The 21,825-nt window shown below is 43.4% G+C and overlaps 2 long non-coding RNA genes across 2 annotated transcripts, besides 1 other annotated feature; both read left to right on the top strand.

The window, feature by feature from the left end:
• Positions 1-10,299: 10,299 nt before the first annotated feature.
• LOC105379613 (uncharacterized) lies at positions 10,300-18,006 on the top strand. The gene is made up of 3 exons (XR_001749379.1): positions 10,300-10,892; positions 15,533-15,576; positions 17,356-18,006. It is a non-coding gene; the product is annotated as an uncharacterized LOC105379613 (long non-coding RNA).
• Positions 11,610-11,765: a silencer, noted in NCBI's record as "fragment chr12:126835877-126836032 (GRCh37/hg19 assembly coordinates)". NCBI's record gives its function as "represses an EF-1alpha promoter that drives an FKBP-Casp9 reporter gene in an ReSE screen in HepG2 liver carcinoma cells {active_cell/tissue: HepG2}" and the evidence as "EXISTENCE:reporter gene assay evidence [ECO:0000049][PMID:32094911]".
• Positions 18,007-18,297: 291 nt separating the features above from the next.
• Positions 18,298-21,344, top strand: LOC101927531 (uncharacterized). The gene is made up of 3 exons (NR_187677.1): positions 18,298-18,416; positions 18,505-19,925; positions 20,380-21,344. It is a non-coding gene; the product is annotated as an uncharacterized LOC101927531 (long non-coding RNA).
• The last annotated feature ends 481 nt before the right edge of the window (positions 21,345-21,825 follow it).

A 21,825-nucleotide genomic window follows, 5' to 3' on the forward strand; every position in this document is an offset into this window, starting at 1 on the left:
GCCTTTTCTAAGAGCGAAGCACTATGGCACACCTGGTAGGGATAAACCCATGAATAACTTGTGGTCCCTCCACTCAGATAAGTGCAACCTGTCTATAACTTCTCTAAGAAAAAAAGGCATTAATAATGTTCTTACAAAAGTTATAAAATGGTGATTTATTTTCCAATATGCTTTTAACCTTGGGAGTGAACTTGTTGAAGTCTCTGCCCATCCTTGCATTTGAAGCAGACTGTAAAGCTTTTATCTAAAGAAATTAGGCTTAACAGTCTGGAAAACTATGAGGTGGGGAAGATTGGGGATCCACAGGGAGACAGACCTAGTATATTATTCTGTTCTCACGCTGCTAATAAAGACATACCCAAAACTAGCTAATTTATAAAGAAAAGAGGTTTAATTGACTCACAGTTCCACATGGCTGTGGAGGCTTCACAATCACAGCAGAAGATGAAGGAAGAGCAAAGGAATGCCTTACATGGCAGCAGGCAAAGAGAGAATGAGAGCCAAGTGAAAGGGATTTCCGTTATAAAACCATCAGATCTTATGAGACTTATTCACTACCATGAGAACAGAATGTGGGAAACTGCCACCATGATTTAATTAACTCCTACTGGGTCCCTCCCACACATGTGTGTATTAGTCTGTTTTCACACTGCTGATAAAGACTTACCTGAGACTGGGCAATTTGCAAAAGAAGGAGGTTTAACTGGACTTACAGTTCTGTGTGGCTGAGGAAGCCTCACAATCAAGGCAGAGAGCAAGGAGGAGTAAATCACATCTTATGTGGATGGCAGAAGGCAAAGAGAGGAGCTTGTGCAGGGAAACTCCCCTTTGTAATACCATCAGATCTCATGAGACTTATTCACTATCAGGAGAATGGCATGGGAAAGACCCACCCTCATGATTCAATTACCTCCCACCAGGTCTCTCTCACAACACTTGGGAATTCAAGATGAGATTTGGGTAGGGACACTGCCAAATCATATCAGTGTGGGAATTATGAGAGCTACAATTCAAGATGAGATTTGGGGGGGACACAGCCAAACCATATCACCCAGCCTCAGAGGGGACACCCATGCAGAGCCACTGCATCACCTGTTGATGGAGCAAAAGATGATCTATCTGGAATATTTTTAAAGGAGCTACCTAAAAAGAAAGATGCAGCAAAGAGTCATAAACAAGTTATTTATTTATTTCTTTTTAGAGACGGAGTCTTGCTTTGTCACCCAGGCTGGACTGCAGTGGCACAATCACGACTCACTGCAGCCTTAGATTCCTAGGCTCAAACCATGCTTCCGCCTCAGCTTCCCAAGTATATAGGACTACAGGGGTGTCCCACTATGCCCAGCTAAAGAAAATTTTGAAAAGCAACACATGTGATGAGAAAAGTGGCCAGTGTAGGAAATGCACATACACACCAAAACACGTGATTGTGTGAATCTGTGTTGTTGGTGTTGGGGAAGAGGATGGAGTGGGCTGGAGACAACAGGAGGTGGCATACAGGACACTGACCAATGGCAGGTGTGAGCTTCCCTCCATGCATCATCCTTGTGGAGTTGCAGGTGCTGTCAGGACTTGTCTACATGGGGCTCCTTGTGTGTTTTAAGGGAAAGGAGATGGATCCACCCTGCCTGAGGTGGGAGCTAGGAGGTCTCAGGATGGAAATGCCTCCCAGAAGACAGGGCATCCTAAGAAATGCTGTCCTTCTATGAGATGGTTGGTAACTCCCAAGGAAGTTGGAGAAAGGAGACAGAGCAGGACTTATTTGGAAAATAAATCCTACATTGTTTTCATTTCTATGGATGTTAAGAGAGAACTTCTTTGTGGTCAATTTTGGTGCTTGTTTTGCCTTTTGAAGCAGCAGGAATAGAATTTTTTTTTTGTTTTAACTTAGAAGAGATGAACATTTTAACTCTTATGTTCAGGGGCACATATGCAGGTTTGTTACATAGGTAAACTTGTGTCATGGAGGTTTGTTGTTTAGATTATTTCCCTACCCAGGTATTAAGCTTAGTACTCATTAGTTGTTTTTTCTGATCCTCTCCCTCCGCCCACCCTCCACCCTCTGAAAGGCCCCAGTGTGTGTTGTTCCCCTATGTGTGTCCATGTGTTCTCATCATTTAGCTCCCACTTATAAATGAGAACATGTGGTGTTTGGTTCTCTGTTCCTGTGTTAGTTTGCTAAGGATAATGGCCTCCAGCTCGATCTATGTCCCCACAAAGGATATGATCTCATTCTTTGTTATGGCTGCATAGTATTCCATGGTGTATATGTATCACATTTTCTTTATCTAGTCTACTATTGATGGGTATTTAGGTTGATCCCATGTCTTTGCTATTGTGGACAGTTGCAATGGATAGAATCTTGATGAGTGGACTCATAAATCCTTCTTAAAGCCTTGATCGCACTTTGAGTGACTGAATACTCACCGACCCCACACTCTCACTCTGTTTGCGTATTCAGGGCTCCAGTGGAGTTCTTAGGAAAAAGGGTTAGGCAGGGGCTTGGAATAAATTCCAAGATTAAATATGTCATCCCCTTCTCCTCTGTTATTAAGAAATGATGCTGCACATCTTCCTTGAGAAAATATTGGGTGGATTTGAGTGAGAAGTTACAGTCCCACTTTGCAGAAGGTGAATGTTGTGCTCCAGAGAAGTGAGATGACCTGGCTTTAGACAGGGTTACATTGTTACAGAGGGTGGGTCACAAAATGTAAAGAAACGTCTTGAAATTCAAATTATGAAAAATAATTTGGCTACATCTCACCCATTCAATATGTTTTGGTTGCTTTGAAAAAAAACATAGACAAAATGAAAAAGAGGCTGGGTGTGGTGGCTCACACCTGTAACCCCAGCACTTCGGGAGGCTGAGGCGGGTGGATCATGAAGTCAGGAGTTCAAGACCAGCCTGGCCAAGATAGTGAAACCCTGTCTCTACTAAAAACATAAAAATTAGACGGATGTGGTGGTGTGCACCTGTAGTCCCAGCTACTTGGGAGGCTGAGGCAGGAGAATCTCTTGAACTCAAGTGGCAGAGGTTGCAGGGAGCCAAGATCATGCCACTGCACTCCAGCCTGTGCCATAGAGTGAGACTCCATCTCAAAACAAAAACAAAAACAAAAAAAAAAAAGAGTTGCTATTTAACAATAGATTCCACAAATTGGGAGCTCTGACCCCACAGAGAAGCAGACCAGGGGAGGAAGGTTGCAGGCCAAGTGCTGGAGGAGGAGGTGTGGGTGGGATGGAGGATGCAGGGTGGCTGCCCAGCATCTGATATTGTGCCCATGTGTTTCCTTTCCCATGAGAACTAAACAAACTAACATAACATCACCCCATGCTGTGACCAGAGATTCCCTGCAGGGCATCCACTCAGAGAGGACTGGTGCTCAAAGCTGGGGGGGTCAGATAGGGAGGCACTTTTTAAAATCTGTGGTTCCTAACCTTGCCATAACACAATTTACAGCAACCACAATTCACTTTTATGACAGTGTTTTCACAACGAGTGTATCAGAGAGTCTATAAAGAGAGGTGCATTGTCAACATATTAGGAATAAAAGGAAAAAATATCCTCAAACATCATCAAAAGTGAGTGTTTTCCTTTCCTTAGTTTTGGAAATCATTATCTGCTCAAGAAATCAAGTGTCTTGGAGCAATGAATTTCCCAGCATGGGGCATAATGAGAGGAAGGATGGCTGCCTAGGGAAGCAATATTTGATTTTCTAGGCAGAAGAACCAGGACAAGGGGCAGAATATGCTCTCCTGTTGCGCAACTCCAGAGTGAATTAAGTGAAAAAGTGTTTATGTTGAATGGCATCTTCTAACTCTTTATTTGGATGGCGTCTTCTGAGAAGATAGAGTTTGCTGCTAATGGCCACCCTGTTCATCCCCCAGCTTGGCAGCTGTTCAGATTATAAAAGGCAAAAGAGAAGAGTCACGCTCCCACATAGGTCTGCCCATTTCTGCTAGCAATGGGCTGTCTCACTCTGTGGGGAAGATCTGCTGCCCCTTTAATCCCAGTGCTTTGGGAGGACAAGGCAGGCGGATCACCTGATGTCAGGAGTTCAAGACCAGCCTGGCCAACATGGTGAAACCCCGTCTCTACTAAAAAATACAAAAATTAGCCAGGCATGGTGGTATGTGCCTGTAATTCCAGCTACTTGGAAGGCTGAGGCAGGAGAATCACTTGAATCCAGGAGGCAGAGGTTGCAGTGAGCCAAGATTATGCCATTGCACTCCAGCCTGGGTGACAGAGTGAGACTCTGTCTCGAAAAACAAACAAACAAACAAAAAGGTGAGCGGGGGGGCGGTGCGTGATGTGTGGTCAGGAGCAGGAAATGAGGGCCATTATGCAAAGGTTGAGGCTTTTAGAAGAGCAGACCATGTGTGCGTCTTTCTATTCGTTCTATGTGTGTTAACCTATTAATCATCACAATCTTCTTCGGCAATAAATATTTTCTTAGCCAGCTTTACAGATGTGGATCTGGAGCATGATGTGTGAAATATTTTGCCCACTTTCTCATTCCTAAGCTATGAAGCTAGAATGGGAACTCAAGTAGCTTGGCATCGAATTGTTCTGTCTCTTGATAACAGACCTTACCAGGAAGAGCAGGTATTATTCCTGGGCTCCTGGTCCCCCATGAAATTTTGTCTTTCTTCCTAGTTCTGATTCTAATGATTCTCTGCTCAGAGCTTTGCCTCTGGCTTTAGTTCTCCAAAAAGATAAAGAACATATCATTTCCTTTTACTTTAACCTTTTCTGAACTTGTCTATTATTCAAGATATTGACTGAGAAGCAACCAGAGTACATGCAACCCCTCTTGGAAGGAGATGGGATCTCACGTTGAGACTTAATTTGTCTTTAAACTATGTGTGGAAATGCTCAGTTTCCCCAAGAGGAATAACAAGTTTAGGTAAACCCTTCAAATTCGTTAATTCTCTGACTGCAGTTGAAGAAAATCCAGCCAAGACATGCAGAAGGTCGGAAGGAAGGAATGAATGAATAAATAAAGGAAGAAAGGAAGAAACACAGAGAGAGAGAGGAGAGAAAGAGATGCATTGTGTATCCTAACTACACTAGAAACAGACAGGGCTGAGTGTGAGAAGAACTTTGTTCTTGGGCTCAAACAGCATTTAGAATCTTTCTTCCTTTTCCTCCTCTCCTTCCTCTCCTCTTTCTGAATCAGTCTCTACACTGCAGTTGCAGACTGGCCTTTGCTAAGCCATAGGAAATACAACTTCTGACAACTATAGGCTCACATGGGAAAGGTTTCACCTTTCAGAAAGGACAGAAGAGTCTTTGCCGTCAGGCTCAGAAAGAAAAACCACAAAGAAGGACTCTGAATGGCTCAGCTTGGGTCATGTGCCCATCCTCGGACCAATCACTGTGGTTTGGAGGATGGGCGTCTGTAATGGCCCTGCCTTGTGTCCATTCGTGATCAGGGTCCTGGATCAGTGTATTAGTTCCTCATTGTTGCTAAAGCAAAATGCCACAGACTCAAGGATTCAGAAAGATGCATTCTCTTATATTTATGGAAATCTGAAGCCCAAAATGGGTGTTACTGGACTAAAATCCATGTGTTGACAGAGCTGCATTCTTTCTGAAGGCTTCAGGGGAGAATCAATTTCCCTAACTTTTTCATCTTCATCTTCTAAATGCCACCAGTATGTCTTAACTCATGGTCCCTTCCTTCATCCTCAAAGCCAAAGTGAAGCATCTTCAAAGCTCTCATTTTCATTGTCTACTTTCATCATCACATCTCCTTCTTTGACGTTCCTGCCTCTCACTTTTTACTCACGAGGACTCTTAGGATGATAATAAGTCCACCTTGATAATCTAGGACAATCTCCCCATCTCAAGAGCCTTCACATAGTCACCTCTGCAAAGTCTCCTTTGTTATGTATGATAACATATTCAAAGGTTCTGGAGATTAGGCATGGACATCTTTGAGGACTGTTATTCTGCCTTCCACCACCTGTTACTAGGGGACAGAGGGCTCCCACACCACTTCAGACATCAGATGCTCCAAAGCAATAGACTCAGATCATGGACTTGATGCCTGAGTGTAATGGAGTGAGTTCCTTTCTTGGAACAGGCAGGTTTTGTATTGGTATCATATGTAGGCCTATTGTATAGTTGGAGATTGATACAAGTGATATTTGCACAGGGGAGAATCAGCACCTATGGCTTGGGGTTTTGTTTATGCTTCTTTAATCAGAAAAGCACTTGCTTGAGAAGGCGAGATCAAGAGTCCTTGTTGCAATGGCCATACCTCAAGGCATCAACTGAGCTTGATTGCTGGAGAGATGTGGCCTCTGGTAGCCAGACCTGCATTCAAAAGTTAGGTGTGCTACCATTTCTTTGAAACTTTCTAGCAGCTTGCATATAGAAATGCAATTTTAAGAAGCATATTCATAATGAAGAAGCCTAGTGATGTAGAATTTGAGATTTGGCCTGGAAAGCCTGTGTTCAAGTTACCACCAGGCCCCGGTGAACGTGATCAAGACTTTTCACCTCTCTGAGCCCAGATTCACCCTCAGCAATCTCCTTGCTCTTTTTCACCACCAGAGGCCCCCTTGGACCTTCTCATAGCCACTCCCTTTCCTACCAGGCCTTCCTTCACCTCTCTCTTTGAAGCAGTGCCCATCCCCATAAGCATTCAGCCCGTCCTCTTCTCTGCTTACCCACTTACTTGTTTATTTATGTCTCTCCCCAGGTAGGTTGTTAGCTTCCTAGAGTGGGGCCTGTCTAGTTGATCCATGTATGTCCAGAGCCTAGAACAGTGCCTGATTAATAGCGGGTGCATAGTAAATATATTTTTAAGAATATAAATGAAAGGTTCAATTTTACAAATAAGACATGTAAAGTCTAGAGATGTTAAATATAGATCCAAATCTAACAAATAGTACAATTTAGATTAAAGCCTGTCTAGTCTTTCCATTTCCTAGTTCTGTGTTCTTTCAATTATATCAGTGTTTTTCCAACTTTATTGATGATGGCCCAAAGAAAAATATACATTTCATATATCATACACACACGTATATGCATAAAGTTAAAGAAGTCATATAGAAAATATTTTCCCTCACTATTATATGAAAATAAAAGTTTTATTTTATATCAAATGTGATTTTATTACTATTGGACTATTTTATCTTTTTTAATTTGAAAGTTGTGATCCACTAAATCGTCGGAATGGACCGGCCATGGTGGTTCACACCTCTAATCCCAGCACTTTGGGAGACCAAGGCGGGCAGATCACCTGAGATCAGGAGTTCAAGATCAGCCTGGCCAACATGGCAAAACCCCATCTCTACCAAAAAATCGAAAAATTAGCTGCGCGTGATGGCATGTGCCTGTAATCCCAGCTACTTAGGAGACTGAGGCAGGGACAATTGCTTGAATCTGAGATGAAGAGGTTGCACTGAGCAGAGATTGTACCACTGCACTCCAGCCTGGGAGACAGAATGAGAGTCTGTCTCAAAAAAATAAAAATGACAATAAATCAATGTAATGACCCACTAATGATCTGGCATCCATAGTTGGGAAATATTCCCTTGTTTTGTTTTTATGAAAGATGTGTGAAATGGACTGTAATAGAGATAATATCTAATTTTTTTCTTGTGTGGGCATTAGCTAGTTAAGGACATTATTCATACTGTCATATGTCTTTGGTTTGCAAACTGTTATTTTGTCTCTTAAACATCTCTTGAATTGATTTCCTTCCTCTGCTACCTATTTGTGTAAATAAAGTTTTAACGAAACACAGCCATGTCCATTCACTCTGCAAGAGCCAAATTGGGCAATTGTGCCAGAAACTGCACAGACCATGAAGCCTATTGTATTTTCTTTCAGGCCCTTTACAGAAAAAGGGCTGCTGACTCTTGGTGTAGCGCCTCCTCCTGGATTGTCCGGATGAGTGCAGGCCCGCATCCCCAGAGCTCACCCCGGGAACAGTGACTGTCCATCAGGGGCTTCCTCAATCACATGCAGGTGTCCTTGCCTGCTCACATGTCTAGAATTGGATAATTTGAAAGAAAAGTTGTATTTTGTCCCATGCTGTGGGTTTTATGCTCAGTATATCAGATCCTTGTGGTTTTAGGAGGAAATGTGAAAAGGTAATGCCTAGCAACAGCACCAGGGTGTCGAAATCATTATCCATGTTCCCTCCCCTGGTCTATCCTGCCCTCGGTGCTCCCATTCCGGTGAGGGGCAGCACAGCTGGGATTGGCTCCTCCTCTCCCTGTGTGGTCTCACAATTCCAGGGTCCATAGGAACCCAACATGATGGAAGTTAGAGGTGTTCATTCAAATATGAAAGCTACTTAACATTTTTTCTTAAATTTGTATACACTTAAGGAGCATAAATGCAGTGTTGTCACATGGATATATTGCACAGTGGTGATGTCTGGGATTTTAGGGTAATCACCACCTAAGTTATGTACATTGTCCCCATTAAGTAATTTCTCATCCCTCATCTCCCTCCCATCCTTCCTCCCTTCGAGTCTCCAGTGACAATTATTCCACATTCTGTGTCTGTGTATACACATTATTTAGTGCACAGAGTACACAGCTCATCTCATTTGACTTTTTCAAGGCTCTTGGGGAAGATGAGGTAGGAGTTGGCATTTATTTTCTGAGTGGAGAGACCAAATGCATGTGATTTGATGAGCCTGGCAGATCTGTACTCACCCCAAGGTGATGACACCTTGCTGCCCTTGACCCATAGACAATGAAGTGGCCAGGCTGTGTGGTTAAGAACAGCAGATAATTCTGTCTCACTGCTGGTGTCACCCATGCACAAAATGCTGGCTGGAGGAAGGGCTGGTGGGTAGTTGTTTTAAGTACGGAAATTGGTTAATGCCCCAAAGCCAATGCATTGAGTTGAGATTCTTCCCATGAAGCGCCGAAAGCTTTTACAAAAGCCATCAATCTCAGCCCAACAAGGAAAGAGAGAGAAGAGGCCCTGGGTTTTGAAGAAGGGAAATTGAGGTGTTTCAGCAGGTCCTAAAACTATACTCAAACCTCAGTCCAGAATGAATGGATTTTCATCTCATCAACATTGGTAGATGCAGCCCATTTAGCATGACATCATAAACTGGAGGAAGAAGAGTGCAGAGAGCTCATTAGCATGAGTTGTCTTGGAAAGCTTTCGGAACAAGTTCTGAATTAATTAAAATTTCATTTGGATGATGAGCACATGGTTATATTTATTTTATTCTCAAGCCTTTCTATAGTAACTGAGGAGGCTCCCCTCTGCAGAATGCCTGATGGCAGTGGCCCTGCCATACATCATTTGGAGGAACTGAGAGGGTTATTTTTAACTCCCCATTATTGAAGAAAACACACACATCTGGAACATTGTGGGGGTGACGATCAGCTGTTCAGATGAGAGATGGTTTGTGGTAGGCCGTGCATCATTTTCTAATTATTTTGACTCTGCTCGTTGCCGTAAACACCTTGGGCATCTAAAATCTGGCCCATTTAATCTCTAAATTGTATGCTCTCAGTCTGTCATGGAGTCTTTGTTTAATGCAATCTCTACTTTTATCAGGCAGTAAAACCAAGACAAATGGAATTCCGGTCAGTGCAGTAGCCTACCGTGGGTGCAGTAGGAGACCCAGCTGCAGATGGAGGGTTATGACATGGAAAATGTCTAGGGGGCTTGATGGTAGCTGGGGGTTTGAGAAAAGATGGATAGTTTTGAAGTGAAAAACAATTATTTATTTGCTTACAGTTGCCTAAGGAAGCTTGGAATTTTTTTAAATAGGACCATTTATGAGGTTGACAAAAGAAAGCTCGTTGTGACAATTTTCCATATGAACTTCCGACAGATGGTGTAGAGTGATTACACCGGCCACGCAGGATGGAAGGAAGTCAGCCAGATTCTTGCACCCCCTCATTTTCACAAAGCTGTGGCTCTCTCTGCATCTGGCAGTCTTTTTTCATTGAAACCATCCACTTCATTAATTCCAGGCAGGAGCCTGAATGGTGAATAAAAGCGTAAGAGTGCCTGTTCACTTTTGTGAGGTTGTGTCATGACAACACACACCAGCACTCACAGAGACTCACACAGGTAGCAGATGCCATCGGGAAATTACACCGGAAAAGTCAGTGCTGCCATACGGAGGTCAATTTCATATTTAACTTACATAGGTGGTGCTCTACATTTTGCATTTTATTTTATTTTATTTTATTTTATTTTATTTTATTTTATTTTATTTTATTTTATTTTTCGTGCAGATAATATTTTGCCATGTTACCCAGGCCACTCTTGAACTCCTGGGCTAAAGCAATCCATCCAACTTGGCCTCCCAAAGCGCTGGGATTATAGGCATGGGTCACTGCACACCCAGCCCACAATTTCACATTTTAGTATCTCAGGTCCTTTGTGAATCATTTGACACTACCTCATTATAATAGAATATTCAACTAGAAGATTTTAAACAAGAAAGATTAATTCACATGACAAGAAGCTAAAGCTAGGAAATTTCAGGTTTTGTTCAGCCATCTCCCAGGTCTCCAAGCACCCAGTTCTTTCTATCTTTCTGCTGTACCCACTGCATGTTGGTTGATCCTTGGTCTAGTCTCCTCATGGTCACAGAATGGCTGCTGGAGCTTCTCACAGCATATCATCACCTGCTTACTTACATTCAGAGGCAGAAAACTGGCAAGTTTTACTTTTTTTTATTTTTATTTTTTGTCAGGAAAAAGCTTTACATAAGCCTCAATTAGTGTCTTTCTTAGGTCTGCCTGGACAATATTGGGTCACCTGTCATCTCCAGAGGACCTGGGAAAGTGAATCTTTATTCAGTATCTATTCTGGGATGTGAGCTTGGTCAATCAGGAGGAAAGAGAAGGGGACCTGTGGATGGACACTCAAGAGGCGGCTCCAGAAAAAGGTTTTTAATTTTTGTTTCTCCAGAGAGGGGCCAATGATTAAGCTTCATCCATCATCATCTCTGATATTAATTCATTTACTAGATTCCATTCCTTCTGGAAGGATCTTCAGGTCTGATGAGGCTGGGGAAGGGATTTGGGACCAGTAAAGCAATGAGGTGGGGTGGGGAGAGTTCCTGGCAGGGCTGGGCTGGAGCTGTCAGTCAAAAGGACAAGGTTGTGCAGAACTGCTGTGTGGAGGAGAACAGAGGCCTGAATGCAGCATGCTGACCTGTTGTGTTCAAACTGTTCAGAAACAACTTTTTTTGGTTTTTTGAGACGGAGTCTCACTCCGTCACCTAGGCTGCAGTGCAGTAGTGTGACCTCGGCTCACTGCAACCTCCACGTCCTGGGATCAAGCAATTCTCCTGCCTCAGCCTCCTGAGTAGCTGGGACTACAGGCGCCCACCACCACACCTAGTTAATTTTTTGTATTTTTAGTAGAGACGAGGTTTCACCATTTTGGCCAGGTTGGTCTTGAACTCCTGACCTTACATGATCCATCTGCCTCAGCCTGCCAAGTGCTGGGATTACAGGCATGAGCCACTGAGCCCGGGCCAGAAACAACTTTAAAAAGTCATGGTTTAACAAAATTAGAAGCTCTCATATATGCAAATGAAAATTCCAAATTTTGGCCTCTTGTGAAAAATACAGAAGACAGGAGATACTGGGTCTGTGTCCTGGAGGCAGCACCTGAGGGGACATCTGTCATGGCCTCAGATCCAGGCGCACCACCATCCCCCTACCCTCACACCTGTGTCATGGCCTCAGATCCAGGTGCATCACCATCCCCCTACCCTCATACCTGTGTCATGGCCTGGGCTCCAGGTGCACTGCCATCCCCCTACCCCTCACACCTGCTCCCCAGGACTCCATCTTCCTGAAACATATGCCACTCCTGCCTCTCTCCTGGGTTGGGTAAACCAAGAGACTCAAGAGACAGCTGCCATTTGGAAGAGGGTCACCTGGAGCAGGCCCATGGCAGAAGCCCAATCAGAAATGCTGCTTCCTGCAGCTCATGGGGAGCTTCCTGCAGAGCTCCAGGCTCTGGGGCCATGGAGTAAAATGGCGTTGCCCACACAATCCACAAGGGTGCCTGTCGTGTTGTGCTCTGTGAAAGGCCTCACCTGCAGCACTGATTCCTGGACCCTGTGAAGAGGGGGTCTTTATGATTCCCGTTTTATAAATGAGAAGGCTGAGGCATGGGAAGTTGAGTCACTCTCCTTCATAACCAAAGGAGGACTCAGTCCCAGGCCTGTGTGACCTCAGCTGCCAAGACCTGGCCAAGAAACCTGATTCCAGAAACAGGAGCAAACACTAGCTTCAGCCTCTGGTGGACCTGGCCCAATGCTGGGTGGAGATCTCAGGGACCTGACTGGTCTTTTAGGGTGTAAAAGGGGGAACCAGTGGGTCAGGGAAGAGGGAGGATGGAGGATGAGGGACCATGGCAAGGTTGAGTCCAGTGTGATGCCTCCTATGTAGAGAGACCCCATCTGTGGGGGGGTCATGGCTGCCCACCTCATGGTGGTTCTGATGGCAAATGGGCAAATGTAGTGGTGATCTCAGGGCAAGTGCAGGCACAGTCAGTGCTCAGGAATGGCAGCCTATGAGCTGGCTACATTTCTCTTAAAATCACCAATTTCATTGTTGCCCAGCATGCCATCAGCCTATAGAGTCAGGTGCCCCAGATATTAAATCCCTGTTAATTAAGAGGGTCAAGTTATAAGTTCATTCACCAAACACTTGGTAAGCAAGTCTGAAGTAACAGCATATGCAAGCGCAAGGAGCACAAATATTATAACCTCTTACAGGAAAATAAACACACAAAAAACATACAAACAGGTCCCCATTAATATGGCCCCAAACGGCTAATGGAGATTCATTCTTATCTAATTATTAAAAGGGTTGTTTGTCAATGTTGGTCAATCTTATTTGAATTACCATGGCTACTATACACGACAGTACAAATCATTTTTTTTTTACAAAATTTGATAATTCAAGCGTTAATAAACATAGTCTTGTTTCCCTTAATTGATTAGCATTAAAGAGATTTAGCTGAACTTTTGAGCCCTCCTTGGCATTTTCTTTGTAAAAGACGCATAAGACTCCATAAAGAGGGAATCTGTAGCATTAATTGATGCTTGTTCATACTCCAACTTACCAGGCACATGTCTACTCCCCCAGAAGAACTTAGTCTTTCTTGTTAACATGAAATCTTAAGTTAGGTAAAAGGATAACAAGAAGATGTCTACCCTACAGTTAAGATTTGTGTGCCAGGCTGGGCGTGGTGGCTCACACTTGTAATCACAGCACTTTGGGAGGCTGAGGCAGATGGATCACAAGGTCAGGAGTTTGAGACAAGCCTGACCAATATGGTGAAACCCCATCTCTACTAAAAATACAAAAAATTAGCTGGGCGTGGTGGTGTGTGCCTGTAATCCCAGCTACTTGGGAGGCTGAGGCAGGAGAATCACTTGAACCTGGGAGGTGGAGGTTGCTATGTTGATGCAGGAATGAGCCATGTTTTGTCTTGGAGAATGGCTGTTGCACTTTTCATATTAAAGACAATATCAGATTCACAGCGTGCCACTGAGGAAGTTTCTAGACAACAGCATTTCTCTGCTCTCTGGGATGGATTCAGTTTGCTTCTAACGGCGACAGGAGATACTACCTGGGTGGACCCTTGGTATTCAACCAAGGGTCTCTCTTATCTCTGTCAACCCAGGGGTACTGATGGAATGGGCCTAAACTGCTGCCCTGACCACTCAGGGGCATGGGTCAGAGTTGGCCTGAAATACCGTGACCCCACCCCGCTTTGCCCGTGACTGGACCATGGTTGGGCACAAGCTGGAGTCCTGAACCCTTAGACAAAAGTAAGGTCAGAGCAGGGTAAGAACATTCAGATAAAGCCAGTCTTTCCAGGAAAAAGCCTTTCCTGGGGTAAGGGAGAAGTGACCCTACCCATCTTGCTTCATGTTTGGGAGGCCAGTGTCTCAGAGTTTGATGTCTGAACTTGCCCATTTTATAGCCACTTGGAGAAAGGCCAGCAGAATTGCAGAGACAGAGTCAGATACTCTTGGCATCTTCCAGCTGCTGAAAAACCCTGGGGCTGCCTGCTGCAGGCTGCCCCTCATGTGGGGAATTAAACATATGTTGTTAAAGTTGTTATTGGTGGGGATTCTGCTAGCTGTAGTGACACAAAAAGCTACTGTGACACACACATATATGCACGTGTTTTGGGTTAGAATCTGAATCCTGCCTGTGGTTTTGGGCTTGAGGCCAGGCCTTTCTGGGTTGAAAATAGATAGCAAGTGTTAGAAATGGTAAAGCTTTCTGTCCTTAAATGAAATTGTTTTCCTTTTTATAATGGGAAGGGTTGAAAAATAACTAAAAATGAAATAAAATATCTCAGTCCGTGTATTAGTCCATTTTTATGCTGCTGATAAAGACTACCCGAGACTGGGAAGAAAAAGAAGTTTAATCGGATTTGTGGTTCTACATGGCTGGGGTGGCCTCAGAATCATGGCGGGAGGCAAAAGGCACTTCTTACATGGCGGCGACAAGAGAAAATGAGGAAGACACAAAAGTGAAAACCCCTGATAAAACCATCAGATCTAGTGAGACTTATTCACTACCACGAGAACAGTAAGGGGGAAACTGCTCCCATGATTCAAATTATCTCCCACCAGGTCCCTCCCACGGCATGTGGGAATTATGGGAGTACAATTCAAGATGAGATTTGGGTGGGGACACAGAGCCAAACCATATCACTCTGTGATTCTGTGTTCTAACATTTTGTCTGGGACCACCTAAAATCACACTGCACATACCCCACGGGGAAGATCCACATTTTGGCAAACACATTTATAATACAGTGAACAGAACTGACATTTTTTAGTAACACTGAGCACATGTGAACTATTTAGACCAAAACAGAGAGTTTTAGAGGGTATTGCTGCTACCTAGCATAAATTAGTTCAATGGAGGTTTAGTCACTATGACACACACACACACACACACACACAGACGATTGTGGACTCCTCTGTCATTTTAGTACGAAATTTAAAGTCAAGGAATCAGTACATTGTTAATCATGACCTTGGATATCTCAGCTTATTTTCAGAAATAAAAGTAATTGTGGCAACAACCACCAGTTAGAATGCCAATGAGAAATGCCAACACAGCATTTAAAGAATGATGAAATAATACATATCTTTTAACAAGCACATTTATTACGACTGGGGATTTTCTTGTGGATTTTCGTCAGACTAACAGGGTGGTGTCACAGAGAAGAAACTCCATGCAAAGAGCTTAGATTTCCATACATTATTTTTCCTGAGAAATTAACCTAGATGCAGTGTTCATGTTTCTCATGTAGGTTCTAGGGAATTCTGGAAGTTCCTGTTGTTCTCACACTTTCTTTCTCACTCTTCCTAAAGATAAAATTGACTAATCTTCAGCATTTTATGCACTGCTCATGACTTTTGTCATATTTGCCATAATGCAGTATTTACCACAGTATAATATATAATGATATTTATGTTATTTACTTAAAATTATCTTTAAACATGCCTATTTAACTCTGATACATATATTTTAAAAGGAAATGACAGCTGCACTACAAATGGAAAACCGCGATCACTTACTGTAAGTAGAAGACAATTATAGAATAAATGTAAAAAAGGCAAAACATTTTGCTTAGATTCTCTGTCTGCTTACTGCTTTGAGGCTGAGTCCTGCTTCCTCTTGGTAAAAAGAAAGGTTAGTAAGTGTCAGATTGATGTTACAGACACAGAAGCAACAACAGACTGAGCCTTCCTACTCAAGGTAATCAGAAAAGCCCACTGTGTATCTGAAAGGAACCACTTCATTACTGTGCTCTTACGTGTTATTTAAGTTTCAGTTACACCACACTGAAAACCATCTGGCTTGCCATGTGAAGCTTCAGAAGTACACATCCCCCACTTTGTTTCTGACATTACCAGATGCACATGGGGATGGGCAGTCCCAGGGAAGCTGTCATGAGCAATCGAAAACACTAATGGCATTTTATTGCCCTGGGCCAAGGCTTGGGCTAGGGATGGGGCATGGGTCCCAGTTCTAGCCACTGAGAGACAAAGAGAGACCCACTGGGAATTCTTGGAAGATTGTTTTTTTCCATGATAAAATCAAATGCAATGTATGAAGCCTCTTCTTTTACCACATTTAGAGCCACAGTGTAAAGAGCTGATGTCTGGTGCTGTGGCAGCCATCATGTTACCATGAGGTACATACCTTCTAAGTAAACCACTGTGCAGAGGTTAGAGTACAGGAGGACAGAAAGAGCCTGGAACCCTGGTACCATATTTGAGTTTCTGGACCAATGTAGAGTTCACCTCCACCTCCAGATATCTCTCTATTTTTTTTTTTTTTTTTTTTTGAGACAGGATCTCACTGTGTCGCCCAGGCTGGAGTGCAGTGGCACAATCTCAGCTCACTGCAACCTCTGCCTCCCGGGCTCAAGCAAACCTCCCACCTCAGCCCCCTAAGTAGCTGGGACTACAGGTGTGTGCCACCATGCCCAGATAATTTTTGTATTTTTAGTAGAGACAGGGTTTCACCATGTTGCCCAGGCTGGTCTTGAACTCCCGAGCTCAGATGATCCACCAACTTTGGCCTCCCAAAGTGCTGGGATTACAGGCGTGAGCCACTGTGCCTGGCCACCTCCAGATATCATAATAAATAAATGCCAAGAATCCTTATGTCTCTACCCTTAAAGAACATGGACATGTTTGCTGAGTAGTTGGTCAGCTACTTGCAGCTAAACACATTTAGAGTAATACACTAGCTATTATTCATGGTTATTACCAATGATTGTCCTGTGGTATATACCACCAGTGTACTTTTCTTCCCCTTAATCAATACGAATTCCAACTATCTTTTTAGAAACTGCTCAAGATTTAATTCCAGGGAGCAGAAGCCAGGAAAGAATTTTATGGTTAGAATTCTTAAGGAAGCGACTTTGATAAAATAAAAACTATGCAGCAAATACACACACACACACACACACACACACACACACACACAGACACACACACACACAGACACACACACACACACACACACACACACAAATACCTGGTACCATATTTGAGTTTCTGGACCATATCTGGAGTTCACCTCCAGATATCTCTCTACTTTTTTTTTTTTGAGACAAGATCTTACTCAAATGCAATGTATGAAGCCTCATATATATATATAAAGATTATATATCCATATAATCTTTAAGCATTAATTTGGATTTGGTCAGAAAAAGAGAGTACAAGTTTTACAGGAATATAGGAGTTAGATCTTACACAAATATGGGTTGAGTTGGGGGACGGAGGTTTTGAAGGCTTCAGTGGAAGATTCCAGACAAAGGTGTTGATTTCAGATCTCTTCTTGCAGCACTAGAGAAGCAGGACCTCAGGAAGAAGCTCCATAAGCTGCCATGAGCACACATGGAGGCTCCTGGAGAGGACGGTGAAGCCACCCCCGGGCAGAATGGTGTCCAGGGGTCGATGTCTTCTGCTTCTTTCTGCCTACCAAATCACTCCTGGGTTCCCCTTAAACCAAGCTCTGACCAGTAGGCTCAGAGGCAAATAGATCAGGGAAATGTACCGCCCAGCCTTAGAAGAAGATGGTGGCACTGATGTGTCAAGAGGAAATATAGCACCTATATATATGTACCAAGGGAAGAGGGGGGGAAGTGTTCAAAATTACATTTCGTTCATTCATCCATTCAAAAAATACTTAACAATCACCTGCTTTATAGCAGTCACTGTCTTGCACCGGGATATAACACGGTACAAACTAGGTGCGATCTTTGCGATTATTAGGTTTATTGGTAGCAGTTGTTGCTGTTACATCTCACTGCTCTCATTGCAAATGTTGATGGTGGCTTTTACGTCTGTGAAAATAAAAAGCATGACCTTTTGATAGTTGTTTGCTGTATGGAAGCCTATTTTACTATGTTTGCATGCAAACTTCTATCTGACCTTAAGCTAATGGGAGCTTGTAAAGAGGTGGAATCGAATGTAAAGTTTGAAAAGACAAGAAAAGAGAAAAGGAAAGGGAAGGGATGGGGAGGGGAGAGAAAGAGAGGGGAGGGAGTCGGAAGAGAGGGGAGGGAGGGGAGGAGAGGGGAGGCAAGAAGGAAGGGGAGGGGAGGGAAAGGGAAGAGAGGGGAGGGAGGGGATAGGGGAGGGACGGGAGGAGAGGGGAGGGGAAGGGAAGAGAGGGGAGGGGAAGAGAGGGGAGGGAGGGAAAGAGAGGGGAGGGGAGGGGAAGAGAGGGAAGAGGAGGGGAGGGGAAGAGAGGGAAGGGAGGGGAGAAACAACAACCATATGTCTTTATTTCCTGTTAGCTCCATTTCTGGCCTTTGGTCTCTTTCTCGGAAAGCAGGCCTCAGTGGCCTCAGTTTCTTCCCAGAACCTGCAATGCCCCACCAAGGTGACAAGAAGTGCAAGGTAGTTAGCTCTCCTTCAGTGCTTATGAGTTGAAGGTGATAACATCTGAAGACCGGTTGTCACATTTGAATTTTTCTTTTTATTTCAGGAGTCGGTTTTCACTGCCAACCAAAGAGGTGACCCCCGCAAAGCAACCATGTTGGGACAGTCCATTTGCTGCGTTTTGATTATTTGCTAAGAGCAAATACCTTTTCTGTTTGGGTTTTGCTTTTAGAAAAAAAATGTGGCAGATGGTGGTGGCTTTCCCCGTCATTGAAAGAAGAAAGGTAGTAACTCTACTGGTGCACTCCTCTGAGTTGTGCTAACAAAGAAGAATGCTGAAAGAAAAGGGAAATGAACACCATTTTCAGGCAGCTTCTCCAAGTTTTTTTGACAGTGTTATAATTTTCCTTTAGCGACTGTTGAAGCAAATATCTGTATTTATGTTCAGATTAAACCGAGAGAGCAAAGACTGCTAAAGCCAGTAATTTCTGGGCTGCAAATGCAGGATAGCTCCAGTGAATTTCAGATTCTTAAAGGTTTTTGCTGTAGCGAATTCATGACACAAAGCATTTGGAGGGAAACCTATTAGAGAAGAAACACATCCTAAATGAGAATTACTGAGGACGGGAGGCTCTTGTCATTTATTGGATTAGTTATAGCACTTTACACAAGCCTGTAATATTTGTTCTGCTGCTGTGGTGTGACTGGTAAAATGAAAAGGTATGTCAAGGGAGTGCTTGACTGACGTTCTTATTTCTTCCGTCTTCTTATATTGCTGGGAGGATTCTACCACTGCAGGGCTAGAAATTAATATCACACTCATTTGATAGGAAGAGCAAAAGCAAGGTTATGAGTCAGAGACATTTTGGTCCCAGAACAATAACTCTATTGATTGAGTCAAATATGTTTAACTCCAACAGCAAGACCTTCCATCTGCGTGAAATAATCATGTCCGTTAATTGTAAACAGGAGCATCTTTGAAAGCTGAGCTAGAGGCGGAGCAACTGGTAAACCAGATGTCCCAAATTTCTAGGTTTGTACATTGTAATTGTTCTAGACTTGTGTGTGGATATTGGTAAAATGACATAGTCAGATATCTCACAGATTTTGTGAGATATGTCCAAAGTTCCCAAGTTAATTTATTACTAAAGTTAGAATTTCACTTACTGTGAGATTGGAATGCCAGCCAGCTACTGAACCTTATGTGTGCCTAGGGGCCATTTTGAGACAATTTGCTGAATATTAAAAGTACAACCAATAATGTTTCTCTCCACATCCACAATAGCGCTTAGAGGAAGCATCTGGGATTGAGCCATCTCACATCTGTCTAATCACATTCATTCAAATGTGATGGGCCCAACTGGCCTACGTACATGGCTGCATATCACCATGGGTGGAAATTAAATCAGAATTTGGCTCAGGAGAGAGATGAAGAGAAAATGCACGTAGATAATTGGCTCAGATAACATTCTGTTTCTGGAAGTCACAAAGAGTGGAAATTGGAATATGTAAATTAAAGAAAAACAGGTAAGAATTCACATGAACCCCAACCACACACCCTGTGTATGTTCTCATTCTCATTCTCTCTATGGTGCCTGTGAGCAGTTGGAGTTTGAATTTTTCAGTCAGTAAGGTTTGCTGTTTATTCGAGGGCTGCTCCTAAAAAATAATCAGGTCTAGTCAAGAATATAGAAAAGTGAAATTATGCATATTTTCCTGGGGAATATAATAGATGTTCTCATAGTCTTACAATGTAAAAAAAATGAAGGTAAGACTCTAGCTCCCTTTCTTCTATCTTTCTGGCCTCATTTTAGGCTAATATTTTCTTTTGCAACCATATACCAAATTATTACATATGGAAGCTGTGAAACTGAAGGTTCTGTAAAACTTTAAAGCCAGAGAACTTATGACTCCTCCATATAGGAAGAGAAATGGGAGAATATTAGGCTGTTTTTAATACTGGGCATCTGGTATTTTTCAGTCCTTAAGATCAAGTCCGCAATGGAAGAAGAGCATTCATCTGGTACAGGTTGATGATTGTGTAAGCCCAAGGAGTGATGTCAACACTGGGGTTCACCTGAGAACATGGACATGGTTGATGAGGGTTTAGGAGATGCTCATACGAAGTCTTCATATGTTCCCTGGATCCCAGCTCTGCCTTCCCACCAGAGAGGATGTAATTCAGCCGAGATGCCCAGAGTCAGCTCTCTGCTCATATCTGTTCCGCACTGAAGCCAATCATCTGAGAAACCTAAGAAGTGTTTAATGTAGTTAGGAAAGTGAGGGATGAAGACCATAAATTCCTTTTCATGTAGCAGAGTATATATGTGATACTCATTCTGTGGTATTTGGGGCATAAACAAGAGTCGATGAAGGAATGTGAAAGTACTCGAAATCCTGACTTTTATCTCTATAAAAATGGCATAGGGATGAAACACACTTGGTTGTTATGACTGTACTCTTTTCAGATTTACTACTTGCCTTTCTACTGATTTTTCTGTGCCACAGGTCTTGACTCCTGTAGGCTAAATTTCTCAGCCTCTTCTGCTCACTGATATATGGGAAGGTTTGGCCAAAGGTGGGTGACTGGTGGGGAGAAGGATGAGGGAATTCAGGGGATTGCTGAGCCCATTCTCTAGACAGTGCTGCTGGCACTGGCTCTGTCTTCTCCGTTTCCATCTCGCATCAGACGGTTCTTCCCTCTATGGGCCTAGTCCTACCTAGACACTTTCCAGTTGGATTCCAGTTCTGGGGATGCTCCCTCCTGCAGGGATCTAAGTCCTTCCCATTGTCTTCGGCTCCTGGGCTCAGCTAGAACCATCTTTTCCCATTGTCCCTGTGGTGCTAGGGCTTTCAGTGGTTATTAACGTCTGTGTTGTATCATCTTGCCTGAATTTCAGCTCTCTGTAACCAGTTCCCCAAATAAAATTCCCCCCATTTACCTACCTTCTGTGAGTCTGTTTGCCTGACATGACCGTATTAAGTATACCCGATATATTAGTGAGCTTCGGATGATATCACAATGTGCCGTAGACTGGGTGGCATAAAAAACAAAGGAATGTATTTCTCATTGTTCTGGAGCTGGGAAGTCCAAGATAAAGGTGCTAGCCAATTCTATTTCTGATGAGGGCTCTCTTCCTGGCTTGTGGATGGCCACCTTGTCACTCTATTCACACACGGTGAAGAGAGATAGAGAGCAAGCTTTCTGCTGTTGCTTCTTATAAGGGCACTAATCTCCTCATCATGGCCCCAACCTCTTGACCTCATCCAAACCTAATTCCCTCTCAAAGGCCCCATCTCCAGATATGTTGCAGCATAGGATGGTCCACAAACACATGTGGGACTTAGCGCCATCGCTTCACTGAGCATGAGCTCGGGAGCTCATGAGGGCTGTAGTGCCCAGACAGTGGTCCCCAGACTCCAGTGA

Source organism: Homo sapiens, chromosome 12 (genome assembly GCF_000001405.40).
Source record: "Homo sapiens chromosome 12, GRCh38.p14 Primary Assembly".
Lineage (NCBI taxonomy): Eukaryota > Metazoa > Chordata > Mammalia > Primates > Hominidae > Homo > Homo sapiens.